This window comes from Homo sapiens, chromosome 19, assembly GCF_000001405.40.
Source record: "Homo sapiens chromosome 19, GRCh38.p14 Primary Assembly".
Classification (NCBI taxonomy): Eukaryota; Metazoa; Chordata; class Mammalia; order Primates; family Hominidae; genus Homo; species Homo sapiens.
In genome coordinates, this window is record NC_000019.10 from 51,308,988 (window position 1) to 51,331,538 (window position 22,551).

At 55.6% G+C, this 22,551-nt stretch overlaps 1 protein-coding gene across 3 annotated transcripts, besides 3 other annotated features; it reads left to right on the top strand.

The window, feature by feature from the left end:
* The first annotated feature begins 2,656 nt into the window (after window positions 1-2,656).
* IGLON5 (IgLON family member 5) lies at window positions 2,657-21,904 on the top strand. 3 transcript variants are annotated; one of them, NM_001101372.3, is made up of 8 exons: window positions 2,657-2,939; window positions 13,077-13,155; window positions 14,675-14,907; window positions 16,359-16,478; window positions 17,777-17,911; window positions 18,093-18,213; window positions 18,745-18,899; window positions 19,684-21,904. In NM_001101372.3, exons 1-8 carry the CDS (start codon window positions 2,861-2,863, stop codon window positions 19,770-19,772), a joined length of 1,011 nt encoding a protein of 336 aa, NP_001094842.1. In that variant the 5' UTR covers window positions 2,657-2,860; the 3' UTR covers window positions 19,773-21,904. The 3 variants fall into 3 exon arrangements, 2 of the variants coding, with proteins under 2 accessions (NP_001094842.1, XP_047294795.1); XR_007066829.1 differs by lacking the exons at window positions 18,745-18,899; window positions 19,684-21,904 and having other exon boundaries at window positions 17,733-17,911; window positions 18,093-18,180; XM_047438839.1 differs by lacking the exons at window positions 17,777-17,911; window positions 18,093-18,213; window positions 18,745-18,899; window positions 19,684-21,904 and adding an exon at window positions 16,630-17,598.
* Window positions 11,328-11,622: a silencer, noted in NCBI's record as "tiled region #10915; K562 Repressive non-DNase unmatched - State 20:ReprD". NCBI's record gives its function as "represses a minimal TATA promoter and a strong SV40 promoter by Sharpr-MPRA in K562 cells {active_cell/tissue: K562}" and the evidence as "EXISTENCE:reporter gene assay evidence [ECO:0000049][PMID:27701403]".
* Window positions 12,976-13,475: an enhancer, noted in NCBI's record as "H3K4me1 hESC enhancer chr19:51825217-51825716 (GRCh37/hg19 assembly coordinates)". NCBI's record gives its function as "activates a minimal SCP1, AML or CMV promoter by ChIP-STARR-seq in naive H9 embryonic stem cells {active_cell/tissue: H9 hESC(naive)}" and the evidence as "EXISTENCE:reporter gene assay evidence [ECO:0000049][PMID:30033119]".
* Window positions 19,271-20,193: an enhancer, noted in NCBI's record as "H3K4me1 hESC enhancer chr19:51831512-51832434 (GRCh37/hg19 assembly coordinates)". NCBI's record gives its function as "activates a minimal SCP1, AML or CMV promoter by ChIP-STARR-seq in naive H9 embryonic stem cells {active_cell/tissue: H9 hESC(naive)}" and the evidence as "EXISTENCE:reporter gene assay evidence [ECO:0000049][PMID:30033119]".
* Window positions 21,905-22,551: the final 647 nt, after the last annotated feature.

Here is a 22,551-nt window from a genome sequence, read left to right on the forward strand (position 1 = left end):
CAGTGAAAGAAGGAAATCGGCCGGGCGCAGTGGCTCACACCTGTAATCCCAGCACTTTAAGAGGCCGAGGCGGGCAGATCGCCTGAGATCAGGAGTTGAAGACCAGCCTGACTAGCATGGAGAAACCCCATCTCTATTAAAAATACAAAACGAGCCGACTGTGATGGTGCATGCCTGTGATCCCAGCTGCTCAGGAGGCTGAGGCAGGAGAATCACTTGAACCCAGGAGTTAGAGGTTGTGGTGAGCCAAGATCATACCATTGCACTCTAGCCTGGGCAAGAAGAGCAAAACTCTGTCAAAAAAAAAAGAAAGAAAGAAAGAAAGAAAGAAAAGAAAAGGAAAAGGCAAAAGAACATTGTTAGTGCTATGAAGAGGTATGACGTAGAGTTATTGTGCTGGGAGTAGCAGCTACTTTGGAAACTATGATCAATGAAGGCTTCTTAAAGGGGAGAAGATGAGCCTTAAATAAGAAAGAGTCATCTGCCAGTGTGGTAGGAAGAGCATTCCAGCGAAAGAACGGCAAGTACAAAGACCCTGGGGCTGGAATTGTTCGGTTTGTTTAAGGAATGGAAAGAAGGTCACAGCGAGCTGAGTGATTGAGGCAGGGAGTGGCCCTAGCTGGTCCAGGTGTTTAGTGGTGGTTGTTCTGAAGGTGGAGGCAAAGGTAGAGGCCAAGAGAGTAGAGCATAGGCTGCTACAGCCAGAGTCCTACAGGGAGAGGTGGTGAAAGCTCAGACCAGGATGGGAGAGTAAGAAAAGGACAAAGCAGAGATTTGTTTTGGAGACAGAGCCAGCGGTTCTTGCAGACAAATTGGATGTGAGTGGAGGGGGAAGGAATTGAGGATGGATATGTTTCTGAGGCAGAACAGCCCCTACTGGGTAACTTCAAAAGCTCCTGCCTTGAACTGCTACAGAAATAACGTAGACTCAGAGATTATTTTGCTCCTGCGTATGCCAAGGGGACGGGAACAGGAGGGTGGAATACACCTAGTAAACAGATGCAAAGTGGAAAGGGGAGGGAGAAACTCACTACAGGTTTTTGAGGTGCTGGCTGGAGCCAGGAGCTGCTCCAAGATCTCTCATTCTTCTCAATAACCTTGGGCAATAGGGAATTTTCCACCTTGCAGGGGAAGACGCTGAGGTTCTGGGAAGAGAAATGGCTTGTCCAAGGTCACACAGCCAAGTCAGTGAAAGAACAGGGAGCCAGGATGTTTTGCACCTAAACCCTGGATTATGGTTTCCTCCCCACCTGCTCCCCCAAGATAAGTCCCCCAATCCCTTCCCATTGCCTTATTATACTGGGGATGAGGGTTGGGGTGGAGGAAAAAAGCAAATTTCACTCCAAAAGTCAGTGTTTTCGTTATCCATGAAAATAGATGGAAAAGCTGAACTGTGGCCCACAGGAAGAGGGGCCTGGGGGCCTGGCCTCCTGGGTCTGAGGGAGGAGGGGGCTGGGGGCCTGGACTCCTGGGTCTGAGGGAGGAGGGGCTGGGGGCCTGGACTCCTGGGTCTGAGGGAGGAGGGGCTGGGGGCCTGGACTCCAGGGTCTGAGGGAGGAGGGGCTGGGGGCCTGGACTCCAGGGTCTGAGGGAGGAGGGACTGGGGACCTGGACTCCTGGGTCTGAGGGAGGAGGGGCTGGGGGCCTGGACTCCTAGGTCTGAGGGAGGAGGAACTGGGGACCTGGACTCCTGGGCCTGAGGGAGGAGGGGCTGGGGACCTGGACTCCTGGCTCTGAGGGAGGAGGGGCTGGGGGCCTGGACTCCAGGGTCTGAGGGAGGAGGAGCTGGGGGCCTGGACTCCTGGGTCTGAGGGAGGAGGGGCTGGGGGCCTGGACTCCTGGGTCTGAGGGACGAGGGGCTGGGGGCCTGGGCTCCAGGGTCTGAGGGAGGAGGGGCTGGGGGCCTGGACTCCTGGGTCTGAGGGAGGAGGGGCTGGGGGCCTGGACTCCTGGGTCTGAGGGAGGAGGGGCTGGGGGCCTGGGCTCCAGGGTCTGAGGGAGGAGGGGCTGGGGGCCTGGACTCCTGGGTCTGAGGGAGGAGGGGCTGGGGGCCTGGACTCCTGGGTCTGAGGGAGGAGGGGCTGGGGGCCTGGGCTCCAGGGTCTGAGGGAGGAGGGGCTGGGGGCCTGGACTCCTGGGTCTGAGGGAGGAGGGGCTGGGGGCCTGGGCTCCAGGGTCTGAGAGAGGAGGGGCTGGGCCTGGACTCCTGGGTCTGAGGGAGGAGGGGCTGGGGGCCTGGACTCCTGGGCTGAGGGAGGAGGGGCTGGGGGCCTGGACTCCTGGGTCTGAGGGAGGAGGGGCTGGGGGCCTGGACTCCTGGGTCTGAGGGAGGAGGGGCTGGGGGCCTGGACTCCAGGGTCTGAGGGAGGAGGGGCTGGGGACCTGGGCTCCTGGGTCTGAGAGAGGAGGGACTGGGGCTAGTCTCCTAGGTCCATGGGAGGATGAGATTGGGACTTGAAGGAGGAGGGAGCTGGGTTTTAGGAAGTATCCCAGACTCCGTGTTCTGCGGATGTGGTGGAAAGACGTGGGGACGCCTGGGGCGGGAGGGGTAGGGGCCGGGCCGCAGTAACAAAGGCCTCTCCCTCCAACAAGCAACCCCCCCTTGACCCCGCCTCCCCGGCCCCCCACCTCTCCTGATTGGCCGGTCTCCCTGCCCGTCAGCGCCGCCCCCCTCCCCGGGTCTGCAGCAGCTCCAGCCGCCTCGTCGCGCCCCCCCAGCCCCCTCCCCCCGCCCCCGCCGCCCCCCGGGCCGGTGCAGCGCAGGCGGGGTCCCCCTCCCCCTCCCCCCTCTCCCCCCAGGCCTCGCGCGCCCCGGACCGGCCCCCCCTTTCCCCTCCCCCTCCGCGCCGCCTCTGCCGCGATGCCCCCCCCTGCGCCCGGGGCCCGGCTCCGGCTTCTCGCCGCCGCCGCCCTGGCCGGCTTGGCCGTCATCAGCCGAGGTACCGCAGCGCCGGGGGCGGGGGGCTCGGCCGGGACGCCAGGGTCTTGGGTGGGTAATCGGGGGATCAGGGGTGGGGGTCGAGGGCTGCATCCCTGGGCCGGCGCGGGGAGGCCCCGGGACGCCGGGGTCTGGGCCCGGGGGTGGGGTCTGCATTCCCTGGCTGGGCAGGGGGACCTCGGACGTGGGGGTCCGCGCCCCGGGGCAGGGGTCGGCGTCCTCGGGCCGGAGCCGGGTCTAGGGGCGGAGGTCTGCTTCCCCGAGCAGGCAAGAGGGTCGCAGACACCTAGCCCTGCCTGGGGGCAGGAGTCTGCGGCTCCTGTTGAGGAGGGGGCAGACACTGGACTCGGGGTCCCCGGGTCGGATCTCCGAACTGAGTTGGGGTGGGGGGCAGGGGATAATGCCCTGTTAGGGGTCTTCATCTGTACGTGGAGAGGGTCCCTGAAGAGGTCCTTGCCGGGGGCTGGGGTAGTCATCTCGGGACAGAGGTCAGGGGATGGATGCCTTCCCAGGGTCAGTAAGAGGAGGGGACAAGGGTGTCCACAGACCTAGTCCCAGGGTCAGGAAAAGAGGGGAAGGGTCTGAAATCCCCCAGCAGGGTCATCTAGGTTGAGAGAAAGTGTTGGTACTTGGGGAGGTTGCAGTTATGTGGGGGAGAAGGGAGCTGGAGATACAGGAAGTTGGGGTGCTGGGCTGGGGTCTTGGATTCCCAAGCTCTGATTGAATGTCTAGGTTCGTGGGGCTGGACAGTGGAAGAGCGATGGGCATGGGAGGATGAAGGAAAGACGGAAGGGAAGGGTTAAAGCAGGTTGAAGGGTTAACCCCGGCCCGGCCCGGCCCTCCCAGTTGGGGAGAGGGCCAGGGGCAGGTTTCTGCACTGAGGTTAGATAGCTGGACCTTGAGTCTCCCCAGTAGGGCCTGGCAGGCAGGGGGTGGTCAAGGAGATTCCTAGATTTCCCCCTAAGAAAAGGGAGGAGAGTGCAAGGAGGCAGGAGGCTGGAGGGTGGGCGCTCAGGAGGGCAGGGAGCTGGGTTAATTCAGACTTTCTGGAGGATTCCCCCAGGCCCTCCCCTGAACAAAGAGTTCCAGGGACAACCAAGAACCCCGACAGAGTCCCCAAGAGTCTCAGAGAGGCCGCCCGCATAGACCAAGTCTGGCACAGAAACCCCGTCACAGCGTCCCACCCGAAGCAGCACCTGCAGACACCAGTCACACAAACACAGCCCCATCCACGCAGGACGCAGGGACCTGGTGGGCCACAGCCTCAGTCCCTTGCTAGTCCTCCCCCGTCTCCCACCTGACCAGTCTGAATCGCCCTCTGACTTTCTGACCACCTGTCTCTGTCTCTGTCATGCATCTCTTTAGGTCTTTGTGTCCCTGCCATTTCTGGAGGTTCCCATCCCTTCCCATCTCTGTTATCCACTGCTGACTTTCCACCTGCCTCTGTCTCTGGGTCATTGTCTCTCCATCCCTGCTGCTGACAGCACAGTTCCACATCTGTCTGTCTCTGCTTTTCAGACTGTTGCCCATTGCATGACTCAGTCTCTTGATACTTGCTTGCTTCCTCACTTATGCCTTAATCTTCATTAACTTCTCTCATTTCCTTCTCTCATTCATTTCCTTCTTGTTCTGACCTACCTTTCTCTTTTTTCTTTCTCTTTCCTTCTTTCTCTTTCCTTCTTTCTTTCTTTCCTTCTTTCTCTTTTTCTCTCTCTCTCTCTTTTTCTTTCTTTCTTTCTTTCTTTCTTTCTTTCTTTCTTTCTTTCTTTCTTCTTTCTTCTCTTTTTTTCTTTCTTTTTCTTGTTTTTTTGAGACAGGGTCTGACTTTCTCACCTAGGCTGGAGTGGAGTGGTGCAAGCATACACAGCTCACTGCAGCCTCAATTTCCCTGCCTCAAGCGATCCTGCCACCTCAGCCTCTGGAGTAGCTGGGACCACAGATGCACGCCACCACACCTGGCTAATTTTTAATTTTTTTTCTTTGTAGAGATGGGGGTCTCACTATATTGCCCAGACTAGTCTCAAATTCCTGGCCTCAAGTGATCCTCCCACCTGGGCCTCTCAAAGTGCTGAGATTACAGGTGTGAGCCACTGCACCAGCCACCTCTTCTTTCTTTCTCTCCTTGTCCTTATCTCTTGTCTTCTTCTTCCTCCTCTTCTTTCCCTGATCCTGTACCCTTTGTGACCTTTCCCCCACTTTCCTGTTTCTTCTCTCCCTCCCCTTCTCTCTCTCACTGCAACTTCCCATTTTTCACATTCACTATTTTTTTTTTTTTTGAGGCAGAGTTTTACTCTTGCTGCCAGGCTGGAGTGTAGTGGCATAATCTCAGCTCACTGCAACCTCTGCCTCCCGGGTTCAAGTGATTCTCCTGCCTCAGCCTCGCAAGTAGCTGGGACTACAGGTGTGTGCCACCACGCTGGGCTAATTTTTGTACTTTTAGTAGATACAGGGTTTCACCATGTTGGCCAGGCTGGTTTCGAACTCCTGACCTCAGGTGATCTGCCCACCTCAGCCTCCCAAAGTGCTGGGATTACAGGCATGAGCCACTGTCTGGCCCCCACATTCATTCTTAAAGTCCCTATAAATCATTACGGGGCTAGACTGGGGCAGGAAGCTGTGGCAGAGCCAGGAGGTGGCTTGTGACCCTGCTCAAGTCTTTTCCCATCTCTGGTCTTAGGTTCCCCTTTTGAGAACTGGGGACGAGAGGGGATGGGGTGGGGTTGAGACAGAACGAGATGCCAGAAAGACACCCCCACCCACCCATGGATAGTTTGAGCTGTCTGGGAAAAAAAGCTTATGGCAAGATATGCAAACTAGCATCTTCTCTCTTCTTTTATTCATGATCTTGTCCAAGTTACAAGAGGAATACACTGCAAACAGTCCGCCTCTGATAAGGGCAAACCCCATTGTGCTCCTGCCCTGCCACCACTCTCACAACCACTGTCTTGAGAGAACCGGTCTGTGGCTGGAGTGCATCCTTCCATAGCTTTCTCTCACTTCTGCAGACTTAGACACGACACACAGAGGACAACATAAGTGATGGATTGGTTGGTTTGTTGATTTTTTTCCCCCAAAATAGAAACAAAATAAGCCCATTTCTCTGCAATCGGCCTTTTCCCACTTAACCATACCTCCCTTACATCCATAAATATTCATCTATCTTCAATTCTTTTCTAAATCTTTTATGCCAACACACACGCACCCCCTCACATATACATATTTATTTACAAAGCAGCTACATTGTGGTATTTTAAAACAATTCAACAAAATCAAATGGCCGCTTCTGCAGCAGCAAATGAGGTGGGTGGTTCCTTTGCTTCTGGGGCAGCTAGCAGAGTGATGATGGTCAGGAGGGGGCAGGAGCCCCAGATTTGAGTCCCAGCACTGCCCCTGACAAGCTAGCTCTCCCCAGGACCTCTGAGCTCCAGGTTCATCTGGCTTGTGGGCTGTGCTTGGTTGTTGGTTCATATAGCAAATGTTCTTGGGGACCAGGGCCGCTATTCTAGACACTGGATATATACATATGGCAGTGAGTGAACCAGGCAGTCACTGTCCTCACGGAGCTTAGATCATAGTGGGATGGAGAGAGATCAAAGACCAAAACCAAAACCTAAAGACAAACAAATAAAAGATAATTTCAGAGAGTGATGAGTAATGTAAAGAAGATAAAAGTGACTTGGCCTTTGAAGCTCAAGTGGTTGAGGAAACCATCTCTGAGCAGGGGAGAGTGGAGTTAAGACCTGAAGGAAGAGGGAAGTCAACCTTTTTTTTTTTTTTTTTTTTTTTTTGAGACAGAGTCTTGCTCTGTCGCCCAGGCTGGAGTGCAGTGGCACTATCTCAGCTCACTGCAAGCTCCGCCTCCTGGGTTCACACCATTCTCCTGCCTCAGCCTCCCAAGTAGCTGGGACTACAGGCGCCCACCACCACGCCTGGCTAATTTTTTGTATTTTTAGTAGAGATGGGTTTCACTGTGTTAGCCAGGATGGTCTCGATCTCCTGACCTCATGATCCGCCCGTCTTGGCCTCCCAAAGTGCTGGGATTACAGGCGTGAGCCACCACGCCCCGCCGGAAGTCAACCTTTCAAAGTTGACAGCAGAGGTAAAGACCTTGAGGTGGGACCAACAGAAAGGAGGGTAAAGCTGGGCGCAGTGGCTCACACCTGTAATCCCAGCACTTCAGGAAGCCAAGGCAGGTGAATCACCTGAGCTCAGGAGTTGAAGACTAGCCTGGGCAACATGGGGAAACCCCATATCTACAAAAAAAAAAAAAAAAGCCAGGCATGGTGGCACGCACCAGTAGTCCCAGCTACTCAGGAGGCTGAGGCAGGAGAATCGCTTGAGCCTGGGAGGTGGAGGTTGCAGTGAGCCAAGATGGTGCCACTGCATTCCAGCCTGGGTGACACAGTGGTACCCTGTCTCAAAAAAAAAAAAAAAGAAAAGAAACAAAGGGAAAGAAAAGGTGTGTCTAGTTTCAGGATTCTTGGCACAGTGTCTGGACTCCCCTGGTGTCGGTGACGCTAATGCCCTCAGATTTTTTCTTTTTTTTTCTTTGTTTTTCTTTTCTTTTCTTTTCTTTTTTTTTTTTTAAGACGGAGTCTCGCTGTGTCACCCAGGCTGGAGTGCAGTGGCACAATCTCGGCTCACTGCAACCTCCGCATCCTGGGTTCAAGCAATTCTCCTGCCTCAGCCTCCCAAGTAGCTGGGACTACAAGCACATGCCACCATGCCCGGCTAATTTTTGTGTTTTTAGTAGAGACGGGGTTTCACCATATTGGTCAGGCTAGTCTCGAACTCCTGACCTCAGGCAATCCATCCGCCTTGGCCTCCCAAAGTGCTGGCATTATAGGCGTGAACCACCATGCCCAGCCAACCCTCAGAACTCTGAGGTCAGCAAAGGGAGGAGGACCCTCCTGGGGACTCCTGGGTGCCAGACATAACAGGCCCAGCCCCTTCTCACAGCCTTTCCCAGCCAGAGCCGCACCCCCTCCTCCCTGCCCCAGTCTCATGCCCCGCCCCTCCACCCCCTACCTCCCAGGTTTCCCACCTGCGTCTTCTGAGACTGTGGAATCAGAGTATCACCCTCCCGACCCCTGCCAACCATTTCAGGGTTCCAGCTTTGCCTAAGCTCCTTGGCAGGGCGGCAGAAGATTCTCACCCCCAGCCCAAGGTCACTCAGCTTGTTAGGGATCTCTTTCTGTCTTAAGAAAAGTCACCTGCCTACCACCTTCATTCCCAGGTTTATCAAACAGGTATGAGGCCTGTGCGTCTGGACTGTAAATCCTACGAGGGCAGGGAACAAGTGAGCCCTCTGATCACCGCCAGACACCTCCCTTGCCACAGGCCGGTGCCTGCCACATAATCACCCTAACAGCCAGCTCACGGACGGCTGTTTGCAAGCACTTAACTGGCAGGCACTGTACTAGAACCTTTACTTGGATTACCTCTTGTAATCCTCCCCACAACCCAGTGAGGAAGGCATGATTATCATTTCCATTTCAGGTGGGGAAACTGAGTCCCAGAGAGGTGAAGTAACTTGTGTGGCTCAGCAGCAGAGCTGGGACTTGAACCCAGCTGCCTGGCAGCCACACTGCATTCCCTGGGCCCCCTGGTTATGCAAGGTTGGCTTTATCAGTAGATGCTTACCAGGGTGTCTGCCCAGGAGTCAGTGACTCAGAGCAACTGACAGCCCAGATACAGCCCTGCCCTCCCCGCTCCCCTGAGTGGAGCATCTAGGGAGACCTATGCCAAGCCAGGGATAGCAATAGATGGTTCCTAAAAAAGAAGGTGCTGTTAGGAACCGCTAGCATTTATTGGGTTCTTTCCGAATGCCAACAGCTGAGCTAGACACTTCTGCTTGCATATTCTCACGGAATCCCTCACAGAAACCCTTGCAGGGAAGAACTACTATTTTTCACCTTGTACAGTTGGAGAAACTGAAGCTCACACTGGCCAGGAGTGGGGGTCATCCAGCTAGGAAGTGGTGGGACAGACGTTTGATCTTCCAACCCTAGCTCCTCAGGGATTTATTATCTGGTCTCTGAGGACCATCCATGCCCTTTCCACAAACACTTCCCAGTTCTGAGATTGGCTCGACCCTGGGGGGACACAGCTAAGATTCAAGCCATCACAAAGCTCCTCATCACTGTCTCAGCTAAGTCAAACAGTGCCCAGAAGAAGGAGTGGGAGCTCTGCCTTGAACAGTCAGAAAGGTCCTCCTGGGGCAAGGGACATTTGCATTGGGGTCTTGAAGAATGAGTAGGAGTTCAAGAGTTGAAGAGTGTTGCAGGCATCCATTTATATTCATCCATTCAACAAATATTTCCCAAGGCCTCTGGTGGGCCAGGCCCAGTGTTGGGAGATGCTGGGGACACAGACTTGAGTCAGAACCAAGATTTACCCCCAAGAAACTTCTAGTCTGATAGGGAGGCCAGATACAGACAGTCATCAGAGTGCAATGGACAAAGTCCTGAGGCACCCGGAGTCCTGCCTTCCCTGCAGGGTCCACTTCCCACCCCAGTGACCAGATAATAAAGCCCTGACCAGGCACTCTGGCTCACGCCTGCAATACCAACATTTGAGAGGCTGAGGTGGGAGGATAGCCCAGGAGTTCGAAACCAGCCTGGGCAACATGGCAAGACCTCGTCTCTTAAAAAAAAAAAAGTAGCCAGGTGTGGTGGTGCATGCCAATAGTCCCAGCTACTCGGGAGGCTGAGGTGGGAGGATTGCTTTTGCTGGGGAGGTTGAGGCTGCAGTGAGCCATGATCATGCCACTGCATTCCAGTCTGGGCAACAGAGCGAGACTCTGTCTCAAAATAAAAACAGAAATAAAAAATAAAGCCCCAAGAAGCCTGGAGTGGTGTGTGGGCTCAACTCATGGGGGCAGTGCCTGCTTCAATCAGCAGCTGAGTTCAGGAGCCCTGGAGCCCCTGAACCTTAGGGTAGGCACCTTGGACAGCTCCCTCTTCCCCCCACTTCTTGGTTCCTGTAGGACAATGGCTCTCAACGGGGAAGGGGGTGTGTGATTTTGCCCCTTACGGGGCATCTGACAATGTCTGGAGGCATTTGTGGTGGAGAAGGGCATCAAATGGATCCAGATCAGAAGCGAGACGCTGCCGACCTCCTATGTTGCATAGGACAGTCTGGCCCCAAATGTCAGCCGTGCTGAGGTTTAGGAACCCTGGCCCAGAAGGTGTGTCAGCAGGAGCATAGCAAATCCTGTGTGTCTGGGGGATAGGGCAGGGTACGTGCCTGTCTGTTTTCACCAGCCTAGGAAGGGATCTTGGTGCGTACATGTGACTCTTTGGCAGCACTGAATGTGGCACTACCCGTCGTTCGGTCCAGGTTTTTGTTGGTGACTTTCCAATTCCCTGTGTGTGTGCGTGTGTGTGTGTGTGTGTGTGTGCGTCCAGCCGTGTGTGATCTGATCACAGGAGACAACATGACCTGATTCTCGGCCCAGCGTGGCCCCTTCGTGCTTGAGGGGATGTGACAGTGTTGCTGTCTTGTTACACGGGTTGTAGCTTTGTGTGCGTCTGACCCAGGGCCTTCCAAAGTGCAAAGTTGGGAATCATGGTGCTCGCACCAGTGGTGTCTGTGTAACCAGTTAGGTTAGTAAGCGTGTGTGTGTGTCTGTCTTCACCAGCCTGGGAAGGGATGTAATTGTGTGTGGACTTTGCAGCCATGTGTGGGGCTGTTGATGTCGATGGAACCATGTGGGAACTATTGTATATGATGGGGTGACTCAGGGTGCAGCATTGCTTGGCCTGAATGTGACAATATGAGCGCTCCTGGGACAGATCCTCCTTTCCAGCTGACCTGCTGCTGGGTGCCTGTGCAGAGCTGGGTCTGTCAGCATCACTGTATATACACACCTGTCCCTCTGAGCGGGTCCACAGCCATGCGCGTGACTGAGAGGGTGGGACTGTCTCCTGTGTTTGTATGCGTGTGATTGTATGTGTTTGTGTGTGTGTGTGTATGGGTGTAGCTGGAGCTGTTTGTGTCTGTATGACTGTGTCTGTACCTCTCTGTCTGGGTAAGGACATAGCAAGTGTGGGGACTATTTCTAGGCCTGGAGAGGTCTCCGTGCCTTGTCCAAGCCTGTGTGTGTATGTGTGTGTGTGTGCACGCGCGTGCACGCGTGCATCCATCATCCATCCCCAAGCTGTCTCCTGTTGCTCCCAGGGCTGCGTGTAGCAGTGTCCACTGTGTTTAGCTCGGGGAGGGTGAGCCCCCTCTCTCCATTCTCTTTAAATCCCAGCAGTGACTCTGGCATGAGGGGGCCCAGGGTGAGGGGCTGCAGGGCCCAGCCCCAAGCCCCAGAGCCTGCCAACCCACTGCACCTGGCTCCGTCCTGGCCCCATCCTGTGGGGCTGCTGATGGAGAGGGCCCCCGGGAGTCATTGGGGCAGCACGGGCCATTAATTCATTATATTAATTAGCTCTTCGTCTGGGCTGGGGGCAGGGCAGCCCCGCGCAGGCCCCTCCCACTCCAGAAGTCCAAGGTCATCCAGCCGGCCTTCCTCCCTCTCCGCCTGGTGCCAGCTCCACCGCCTCCGCATGCCCAGCCCCCACTCCCTGGCCCTGGTCCAGCCCGCTGGCCACGGTCTACAGAGAGATGACTGCGTGGGGGTGACGGAGCCTGCCTGCTGTGCTGAAGTGTGCGAGTGGGCATGGGCTCACACCTGCAAGCATGCCCTGGCAAACTTGAGCACACAGTGTGCCTGTGTAGATGTGTGTGTCTGCAAAGGTTTGTGTGTGTGTGAGGGTGTATTTGTGCATCTGTGATGGATGTGTGTCTGAGAATGTACACATGTGGATCTCTGTGCGCACGTGTTCATATCTGTGTGTCTGCAGGTCTGTTACATATATGTGTTATCTACATGCATCTGGTTTTATGTGTATGCCTTCGGTACATTTCTGAGTTAATGTACGTGTGCATCTGTGTACTTGTGGGCCTGTGTGTATATATTTGTGTGTATTCACGTATATATGTGTGTTTCTGTGTGTATGCATATATACTATGCGCTCATCTTTGCATAGGTACATGTGTGTCTGTATACCGTACCTATGAATATTTGTGTGCCCATGTACATGTGTATTTGTGTGTGTGTATGTGTGTATACATGTATCTGTGCATAAGTGTTCTGTGTATGCAAGTATCTGTGTGTTGATGTACCTGTGTATATGTCTGTGCGTGTAGACCATGTGTGGATGTGTGTACATATCTCTGCATATGTATATGTATCTATGGTAATTGTTGGGGTTCTTTTTGAGACCAAGTTTCGCTCTTGTTGCCCAGGCTGGAGTGCAATGGCGTGATCTTGGCTCACTGCAACCTCCGCCTCCCGAGTTCAAGTGATTCTCCTGCCTCAGCCACCCGAGTAGCTGGGATTACAGGCGTGCTCCACCACACCCGGCTAATATTTTGTATTTTTAGTAGAGATGGGGTTTTACCATGTTGGCCAGGCTGGTCTCGAACTCCTGGTCTCAGGTAATCCTCCCACCTCGGCCTCCCAAAATGCTGAGATTACAGGTGTGAGCCACCGCACCTGGCCGTATCTATGTAATTGTTAATCTGCTCATATTGGTATGTGTGTCGCTGTACTCTGTATCTGTGAATGTATGTGTTCTGTGTACACAGGTATCTGTGTCTGTGTATATGTGTCTGTGTGTATGTCTTATGTGTACATGTGTCTGCATGTATATGTTTGTACATATGTCTCTGTATATATATGTGTCTGTGTACACATGCATCTGTGTGTATCTGTATGTGTGTGTTTGTGTGCTACGATTGTCTCTGCATCTCTGGAGGTGTGTAGGTTTGTATGTCCATGGACACCTACCCATCTGAGTCTGTGAGTCTGTGTGGGCTCATGGGAAGATACATGTTGCATGTGTCTGCTGTGATTGTGTCTGCTGTGTGTGTATCTCTGAAAACATCAGTGCATGTGTGTGGCAGCGGGTGCAGGAGACGTCTGTGTCCGCAAGGACGTGTGTGTGCACGTGTGGTGCATGTGTGTGGCAGCGGGTGCAGGAGACGTCTGTGTCCACAAGGACGTGCGTGTGCACATGTGTGCAGGTGCTACCATGCCCGGGCCTTGCCTGAGCTGCCAAGGCTGAGCCACCCCCACCTTCCACAGGGCTGCTCTCCCAGAGCCTGGAGTTCAACTCTCCTGCCGACAACTACACAGTGTGTGAAGGTGACAACGCCACCCTCAGGTACCTCCCTCGGTGGGTGGGGACTCAGATCTCATGGAGCCATGCGGTCCTGCCCCTTCACCTTCCTGGGTGGGGATCCTGGTTACAGGAACAGCCTGGGATGGGAAGACTTGGGCTCCACATTCCCCCTCAGTAGCGACACAGCTATGAGCTGGCTCCCCCTCGGCTTCAGTGTCCCCATCTGTCAAAGGGGTGGAGAGAGGGGGCAGAGACACACACAGAGAGAGGGACAGAGACCCAGAGAGAGAGAGGGACAGAGACCCAGAGAGAAGGGGACAGAGATCCAGAGAGAAGGGGACAGAGATCCAGAGAGAAGGGGACAGAGATCCAGAGAGAAGGGGACAGAGATCCAGCAGAGAGGGACAGGGTTGCTGTTTCCCCAGGTCTCCACCTCTCCTCACCCTGGTCTCTGTTCCCCCCTCTCTCCACGCCTCTCTCTCTCTCTCTCTCTCGCTTGCTCTCTCTCTCTCTCTCTGTTTCTGGGTCTCTGTCCCCCCTCTTTCTCTGGGTCTCTGTCCCCCTCTCTCTGGATCTGTCTCTGGGTCTCTGTCCTTCTCTGTGTGTGTGTCTCTGTCCCTCTCTGCTGGATCTCTGTCCCCTTCTCTCTGAGTCTCCCTCTGGGTCTCTTTCCCTCTCTCTCTCTGGGTCTCTGCCCCCCTCTCTCTCTGGGTCTCTGTACCCCTCTCTCTGTGTGTCTCTGTCCCTCTCTCTCTGGGTCTCTGTTCTCCTCTCTCTTTCTCTGGGTATCTGTCCCACTCTGTCTCTGGGTCTCTGCCCCCTCTGCCTCTGGGTCTCTGTCTCCCTCTGTCTCTGGGTCTCTGTCCCCCTCTCTCTGGGTCTCTGTCTCTCTCTCTCTGGGCCTCTGTTCCCCTCTGTCTCTGGGTCTCTGTCCCCCTCTCTCTGGGTCTTTGTCTCTTTCTCTCTGGGTGTCTGTATCTGTGTGTGTGTGAGTCTCTGTCCCCTCTCTCTGGGTCTCTGCCCCCCTCTCTTTCTGGGTCTCTATCCCCCTCTCCCTAGGTCTCTGTAGCTCTCTCTCTGGGTCTCTCTCTCTCTCTCTTTCTCTCTCCGGGTCTCTGTCCCCCTCTGTCTCTGGGTCTCTGTGTCTCTCTCTCTCTCTGGGTCTCTGTCCCTCTGTGTGTGTGTGTGTCTCTGTCCTTCTCTCTCTGGGTCTCTGTCCCTCTCTCTGGGTCTCTGTCCCTCTCTCTAGGTCTCTTTCTCCTTCCTTCTGCATCTCTATTCCTCTCTCCCAGATTCTCTGTTCTCCCCTTTTTGTGTCTCTGACACACACGATCACTCAATAACCACGAGCTATTGTTCCGTTCTGCAGTTGGGCTCACAGCTTTCCCTCCCTGAGGCTCAACTTACCCCCAGCTGTATGGTGGGCACAGCAGCATCCGCCTCACAGGGCTGTGGTGGGACCTGGAGATGCGGTGGCCTCCTTCTCCCACCCACCCCCTCGGTGGGGGAAGCCTCAGGCTGGGTGGGTGGAGAAAAACCTTCCCACTCATTCTCCCTGCAGCTGCTTCATCGACGAGCACGTGACCCGCGTGGCCTGGCTGAACCGCTCCAACATCCTGTATGCCGGCAATGACCGCTGGACCAGCGACCCGCGGGTGCGGCTGCTCATCAACACCCCCGAGGAGTTCTCCATCCTCATCACCGAGGTGGGGCTCGGCGACGAGGGCCTCTACACCTGCTCCTTCCAGACCCGCCACCAGCCGTACACCACTCAGGTCTACCTCATTGTCCACGGTGAGCCCTTGGCCGGGGCCTGGCTGGGTGGAGGGGTTGAGAGCGTGGGGGAGACTAGGCATGATGACAGATACCACGTGTTCCCCAACCCCAGGGATACATAGCGAGAAAGACAGACACAGCCTTGCCCTTGGGGATTTCAGCCCAGCAGAAGGGGGCCAGTTACACAGACAGTGACGCATCAACATGATTGCTTCTAGGGCAGGAGAGCTACAGGGATGAGGGGGTGCTTGGGGGAAGACCACGTTCATTTGTTCAGCCCCATTCCTGGAGGGCCTACTCTGTGTAAGCATTGATCTACAGAACAAGGCAGGCTGTCCCCACACCTTGGGAGCTGATTTTCTGAGGACAGGCTCAGAGAGGACTTCCCAGACGTGACGTCTGAGCTGACGCCTTTGGCTGGGCACAGGGCTAAGACCGGAAAAGAAACAGTGTGTGCAGGGCCAGGCAAGAAGATGAGCCAAGTGTGCAAAGGGAAGTCTCATGAGGCTGGAAGCGCCAGATCCAGAGCAGGAGAGATGGGGCTGGAGAGCTCCACAGTGAGGCGAGAGGCAGAGGGCATCTGAAATGGTGGAGGGTAGGGAGCACCTGGAGAGACAGGACCTGGAGACAGAGAGAATCCAGGGGGATCCTGGCAAGCTCCAACTCTGGAGCCAGACTGCCTGGGTTCCAACCTCAGTGCCACCGTCCACCAGCCCAGGGACCTTGAGCAGGGAAGAGGCCCGGGACTCCTTTGCAAAATGGGGATGGTGCTGTCATATGTCAAATCCCAGACGTCGTCAATTAGAAGAGCTACTTTTATTTTATGCCCTACTAGAAAAGAAAAAACAAAAACACTGCCAGCGATACCCTGGCATCCTATCTCGAGGGCCATCCTGCTTGGAGAAATGTTCAAATGGGAGAGGGGAGTGGAAAGCACAGATGACTTAGAATTGATGAAATACAGTAACATCCACCCCAGAGGCTGGTAGTGAGCATCTAATCAGTGGATTTGGGTAAAGCACTTAGAATAGCATCTGTTACACAGAAAGTCCCATGTGGGTATTTGTTAAATAAATTTATTTAAAATAATAATAAATACAAATAGAGACGGGGAGAGGAATTCAGACCCCAAGATGGAGAAACCAAGTTAGGATGAAGGTGGAGAGAGAATAGAGACAAGACCAGCAATTAGACAAGAAGATGCCAGGCCCAGACAGAGGTTTCAGAGAAAAAGGCAGAGACTCCTGGGTCTGAGGGAGAAGGGGCTGGGGTACTGGACTCTTGGGTCTGAGGGAAGAGGAACTGCGGGTCTGAACTCCCGGGTCTGAGGGAGGAGGGGCTGGGGGTCTGAACTCCTGGGTCTGAGGGAGGAGGAGGGGCTGGGGGTCTGGACTCCTGGGTCTGAAGGAGGAAGGGCTGGGGGCCTGGATTCCTGGGCATCCATATTCAGCCTCTGCCGCTGCCCGCAGTCCCTGCCCGCATTGTGAACATCTCGTCGCCTGTGACGGTGAATGAGGGGGGCAATGTGAACCTGCTTTGCCTGGCCGTGGGGCGGCCAGAGCCCACGGTCACCTGGAGACAGCTCCGAGGTGAGGACCCCATCCCAGGTCAAAAGCCCCGTCCCCCACTGCGCAGTCTGGGCCCCTCCATTCCCCATATCCCTAGCTAGTTTCCCCAGCCCCCTTCTCCCTGGCCCCTTGGCTTCCCCTCCCACTCTGCTTCCAGTTATTTCATCCACAGACCACAAACCCCAGACCTAAGAGGCGTCACCACTGGCTTTCCACCTGCCGTCCTAGGCCTGGGCCACTGCTTCTGCGTCACTTGCCAAACCCCAGCCTGCGTCACTTCCCCAACCCCAGTGTCCCCGATGTCTCCCCACGCGCTCACAGCATTCTCCTGGGCTGAGATCCCCTGCCACTAGGTGCCCTAAGCCAGGCTGCACCAGCGGTCCTGCGTACATCTCTGCCTCTCTCTTCTGCTGGACGCTCTAGCCCAGCGGGCCTCATGGTGTGGGCCCCAGACCCGAAGCATCAGCATACCTTGGGAACTTGCCAGGAATGCACTTTCCCAGGCTCCAACCAAGACCTGCTAAATCCAAAGCTCCCTCTCGCTCCACAAGCCCCAAGAACCAGTGCTCAAGGTTACCCACAAACGGCGCCAGAGTGCCCATATATGACAGTCCAGGTCCTAGACATCACCCACCAGCCCTTTTATGTGGATCTCCACCACCAGATCCCAGATCCCTGGATCCTCATTCTCAGGGTCTTTGAAGACCCATGGTGCCAGTCACTAGATCCCATTCCCTGAATCCCTGGATCTTACCCCACTGGGTCATCTGAGCCCCATGAGCCTGGTCTTGACATCTGGGAATCTCTGGATGCCCTAAGTCCCAGAGGGTCTTCTGAGACTGCTGCTGTGTTATGAGACCCCCATATACTTGGATTGCTGATCCCAATCACCAGATCCTGATTCCCTAGACCCCATGAATCAGATCCCAGAACGAGGGACCCTGCCCCACTGGTTCTGTATTTGCTAGATCCTTCTGAGACCTAACATCCTGGGATCCCCCTCCCCATTGGGGTCCTCCCCACGGAGCTCCATGATCTGAGTCAGATTCCTGGAGGGATCTCCTGAACCCTTAGATTCTCTAACCCACCCCACTGGGTTCCAGGAACTGAGTCCCAGACCTCACTCCTTCCCCCACCCCCAGCTGGAGAGATCCCAGGCCCCCGGCCCTGCAGCCCCTCCCCCACCCCACCCCCATTGACCCGGGCACTCCAGGCCTTGCCGTGCCCGCCCCGCTGATGTGTGTCCGTGTTGTGCCCGTGTTGTCCCGTGTTAAGTGTTTGTGTCCGGCCCCGCCCCCTCCTCCTCCTTCCCCCCACAGACGGCTTCACCTCGGAGGGAGAGATCCTGGAGATCTCTGACATCCAGCGGGGCCAGGCCGGGGAGTATGAGTGCGTGACTCACAACGGGGTTAACTCGGCGCCCGACAGCCGCCGCGTGCTGGTCACAGTCAACTGTGAGCCCCCCTGGCACTGGGCACGAAAGGGTGGCGGACCCCCGAGTCCCTGGGGAGGAGGGATCTGGGGGAAGAGGAAGCGGGGGCGAGACTTACGGGCCTGAGGGAGGCGGGGGCTGGGGGCGGGACCCCTTCGTCCCCACGCGGCTAGGAGAATTCGCTGACCCTTGCCCCTCGCCAGATCCTCCGACCATCACGGACGTGACCAGCGCCCGCACCGCGCTGGGCCGGGCCGCCCTCCTGCGCTGCGAAGCCATGGCGGTTCCCCCCGCGGATTTCCAGTGGTACAAGGATGACAGACTGTGAGGACAGCACTGAGGGGGCCGTGGGAGCGGGAAGGGGAGGTCTTTAGTCCCTTCGATTGTGAGGCAGGGGGACGGAGCGGGGCGGGGGAAGGCAGCAGAGCTCTGGGTCCCGAACCTGGGGCGTCCAGCTTCTAGGTGATGGGATCTGTCCAGCCCCGGAGACAAGCTTGGGTCCCCGCTTGATGAATGCTGGAACCCCGTCTCCCCGGACTTTTCAGGGAGCTGGCCAGGGGTCGGGGGTCAATGCTGAGGATCTGTCGGGCAAGATTTAGGGGACCAGCAGAGTTCAGGAGTCCCTAACGACTAGGGGTGCACTACGGGAGAGTCCAGAGTCCTGAGAGGCCAGGGTGCCTGGAGGGGGGCGGCGGTGGGAGTGACCCGAGGTACATGAGGTGCTAGAACCCGAGGCGATGGGTCACTGGGGTAGGGGGCAGAATGCTGGGTCACCGGGGAACGGAGGAGCCTGAGAGTCGGGGGGCTGGCCTGGCTGGGCGCTGCGGCCCGGCCCCTGACCCGGATCCCTGGCAGGCTGAGCAGCGGCACGGCCGAAGGCCTGAAGGTGCAGACGGAGCGCACCCGCTCGATGCTTCTCTTTGCCAACGTGAGCGCCCGGCATTACGGCAACTATACGTGTCGCGCCGCCAACCGACTGGGAGCGTCCAGCGCCTCCATGCGGCTCCTGCGTGCGTCTTCGGGCGGGGCGGGGCCGGGAAGGTGGGCGGGGCCGGGGGCGGGGCTAGGGAAGTGGAGACGCCGGGACCGCCCTTCAGGCTGGCCCTGAACTTAGGAGATGGACGCTGAGACTGAAAAGCAATGCGAGTAAGAAACCGATCCACGCAATCAATATTCATTGAGTGCCAGCTAAGGGTTTGTCGTGGGGGACGCAGCTGTGCACAAAAGAAACAAGGTTTGGGGATTCGCAGAGCTTATAGTCTAGTAGGAGTAGAAAAGCAATAAACAAGTGGTCATGTAGGTAAATAAGCAAACACATACATAAACAAAAAATAATTTTGGAGGCCGGGCGTGGTGGCTCACGCCTGTAAATCCCAGCACTTTGGGAGGCCGAGGCGGGCTGATCACCTGAAGTCAGGAATTTGACACCAGCCTGTCCAACATGGTGAAACTATGTCTCTACCAAAAAAAAAAAAAAATACAAAAATTAGCCAGGCGTAGTGATGGGCACCTGTGGTCCTAGCTATTCAGGATGCTGAGGCAAGAGGATTGCTTGAACCTGGGAGGCAGAGGTTACAGTGAGCCGAGATTGCGCCTGGGTGACAGAGCGAGACTCCGTCTCAAAAAAAGAAAAAAAAAAAAAAAAAGAAACAGAGTCAGAAAAGCAGGCACACCCAATGAGAGATCCAGAAAGGACGCTAAAGAGTGGGCTCAGAAGAGATGGGGCCCCTGGAGAGACACACATGGGGTTCCCCACTCTCAGGCCTCCCTCCATGACCCCTTCTCTTCCCCCAGGCCCAGGATCCCTGGAGAACTCAGCCCCGAGGCCCCCAGGGCTCCTGGCCCTCCTCTCCGCCCTGGGCTGGCTGTGGTGGAGAATGTAGGCGCAACCCAGTGGAGCTCACCTCCCCCTGCAGGGGGCCTCAGGCCAAGAGTGAGAGAAACGGGGGAGCAAGAGCCGTGGGTCTCGTGGGGGCAGAAGAGCTCTCGGCCACCAAGGAAGAAGAGAGAGGAGAAGAGGAGGAGGCAGAGGAAGAAAGATCTTCAGAGAACCCATCACTGTGAGGGATAACGCAAAATTATGCATCTTTCTACAGCCATTCTCGCCACCCGTTCACGTTTCCGATTGTGACCCACTCCCGCCACCCCATACCCCTCTCTCTTAGCTCAGGCTGTCAACTGGCTTGTGTGGGTGTGGGTGTGTGAGTGTGAGCCTGCATGCATGTGTAGGTGTCTGTGTCTCTGTTTGTGTGTGTGTGGGGGGGTGGGCTGGGGGAAGGGACTCAGCCGTCCTCCCGCCCCCAAAACCCCCATGTCCACTGTCCCCAACCCTATTGCCTCTCACCTCTGGCTGGAGGTAGGTATGAGGCTCTGCAGTGGAAGCTGTGAAGAGAGGCTTACCAGGCTCCCTGCTTCCCCAATATATGCACGCACACTACCCCTCCCCCTGTCGAAAGGGCAACTCCTGGCAGGTTGGGAGTGGGGAGGGGCATCGCACTCACCTGTCAAGCTGTCATTCAGCCTTTGTGAGTAAGTGGGGGACCTCCATCTAGGCTCTGGGCTTCCCTGCTGTCAACCACCAGCTTCCTGTAGCCAGAGGCCCCATCGCTGGCTCAGTGGCCTGAGACCTTCCCACTTTTCCTGTCCCTCCACACCCTGGATTTTCTGGCCCCCTCCTGGGCCAATCGGTGCTTCCATCCAACTGTCAGACTGGTGGCAGGAGTCACCTGTCTGTTTCAGTGCTTTGCCCTACCCTTGCCACCACTCCCCTTGGCCTTGATTTCCCCACCTGCGGCACCAGCCAGCTGCCCTTGGGGCCTTTGCAGCTGGCCCACAGGTGTGAGCTTGCTGGTCTATCACTTCCTGGCCTCTCCACCAACTGTACCTCCCAAAGGCTACCTGACCGCCCTCACAGACACTCAGACGCACCACACACACATACACACACACAGACACACACACACACACACACACACACACCAGCGACTGTGACCAGCAATAGCCCCCTGGCTCCAGCTGTCCGGTAGCTGGTGACTAGCTGTATTTCCCCCTGGGTAGGCATCTGGTGTCAGGAAGGGACGCTGAGAGGCCGCAGCCTCAGCTCTGACTGTAGGAACACTCCACCCTGGTACACCACACCACACAAAGTGGGGGACAGAGAGGCATCACACAGACATCCTGAGCCCAGACAAAGATGCCATGTCACCAACTCCGACTCCCAGGAGACCCTCTATATAAACACCCACCCCAAACCACACCACCCAGAGTCTGGTGGAGAAAAGGAGAGGGCAAGGCGCAGTGACTGTACCTCAGACGGGGGCATGGGCCCCATCCCACATTGTCTTCCATTCCCAGGGTCCAGGGGATGGGGTGGGACAGGGGAGGGATGCTAGGGAGGGGGTGGGGGGCCCTGGGGGCCATGTGTTCCAATTCATGGGGAGTGTTGAGACCACCACACCAATAAACGCCTTTTTCCAAAGTCTGCCTGCAGGTGTCAATGTCATTAAGGATTAGAGTTAATGAAGGGCAAAGGGTAGCAGTCAATTGGTGGTGCCTCTCCAGCATCATTCCTACCGCCTACTTTCTCACTGGTAGACTTGGAATGGACTCATTACAGAGATGCCCTGTGATTGGCCGAAGACACCCAGCATAGCCCATTTCCCACCGTGATTGGCTCAGAGATGGGCACATGACCCAGTAAGGCTAATGAGAAAGTGAATGGATTCCCAAGAAGAGATGCTTTTCTGCTGGATATTGTGGCTCCGTGATGTGAAGTCAACATCTGTAGGGTTGCTTTTCTCCATCACATGGAGAGATCTTGGCTCTGTGGGGATAGCAATGGTGGGGAGGACAGCATATGGAGCCTGAGAAGGATAGGAACACTGTGAAGGGCAGAGTGGAAACCTTAGAGAAACTGAGTCCATGATTATATATCATTTGAGCAGCTGGATCAAAACTTAACTGATGCCCATTTTCACTTATATAAGCAATAAAGTCCCCTGTATATTTAAACCAATTTGCATTGGATTTTCTATCTCTAGTAATAAAAAAGAGAATGAAAACCATAATAGATACAGAAGAGACATAGAAGGCCCAGAACCCCAACCCTCACCTTTCCAAAAGGATCCAGGGGTTCTATTTTCCAATGGCCTTTTCTACCCCCAATCATTAACCAGAAATTCTCTCACATGCTTTCCTTCCCTGAGACAGATGCTGGTTGCCCACATTTGAGTTGTTTGGTTCCCCTTTCTTCTTCGCTGGCAGATCCACGTGTTATGATACAGGCTAGATATCTGGTTTCCTAGCCTCCTTTGCAGCTATGTGGCCAGTTTGGGCCAAAGAGACATAAATGGAAATTTGCTTGTAGGTTTCCAGGAAAGCTTCCCTCCCACCCCATGAGAGGGAAGAAGGCAGTGATAGAGGGAGGTAGAGGGTGGGGAAGATGTATAGGGAGGAAGTTCTGCCCCCTTCCTTTTATCTTTGGATACAGTTGTGTGAAGATGTGATGACTGGAGCTGCAGCAACCATCTTGCTACGTGAAGCAACATGCTTAGAGTCAATGTGCCAACCCACTGAGGGTGGCAGAGCAGATGGATGCAAAGGGCCCATGTCTTTAATGGCGTTACTGAGCTGCTGAGCCAGCCTGAAACCAGCCGCCTCCAT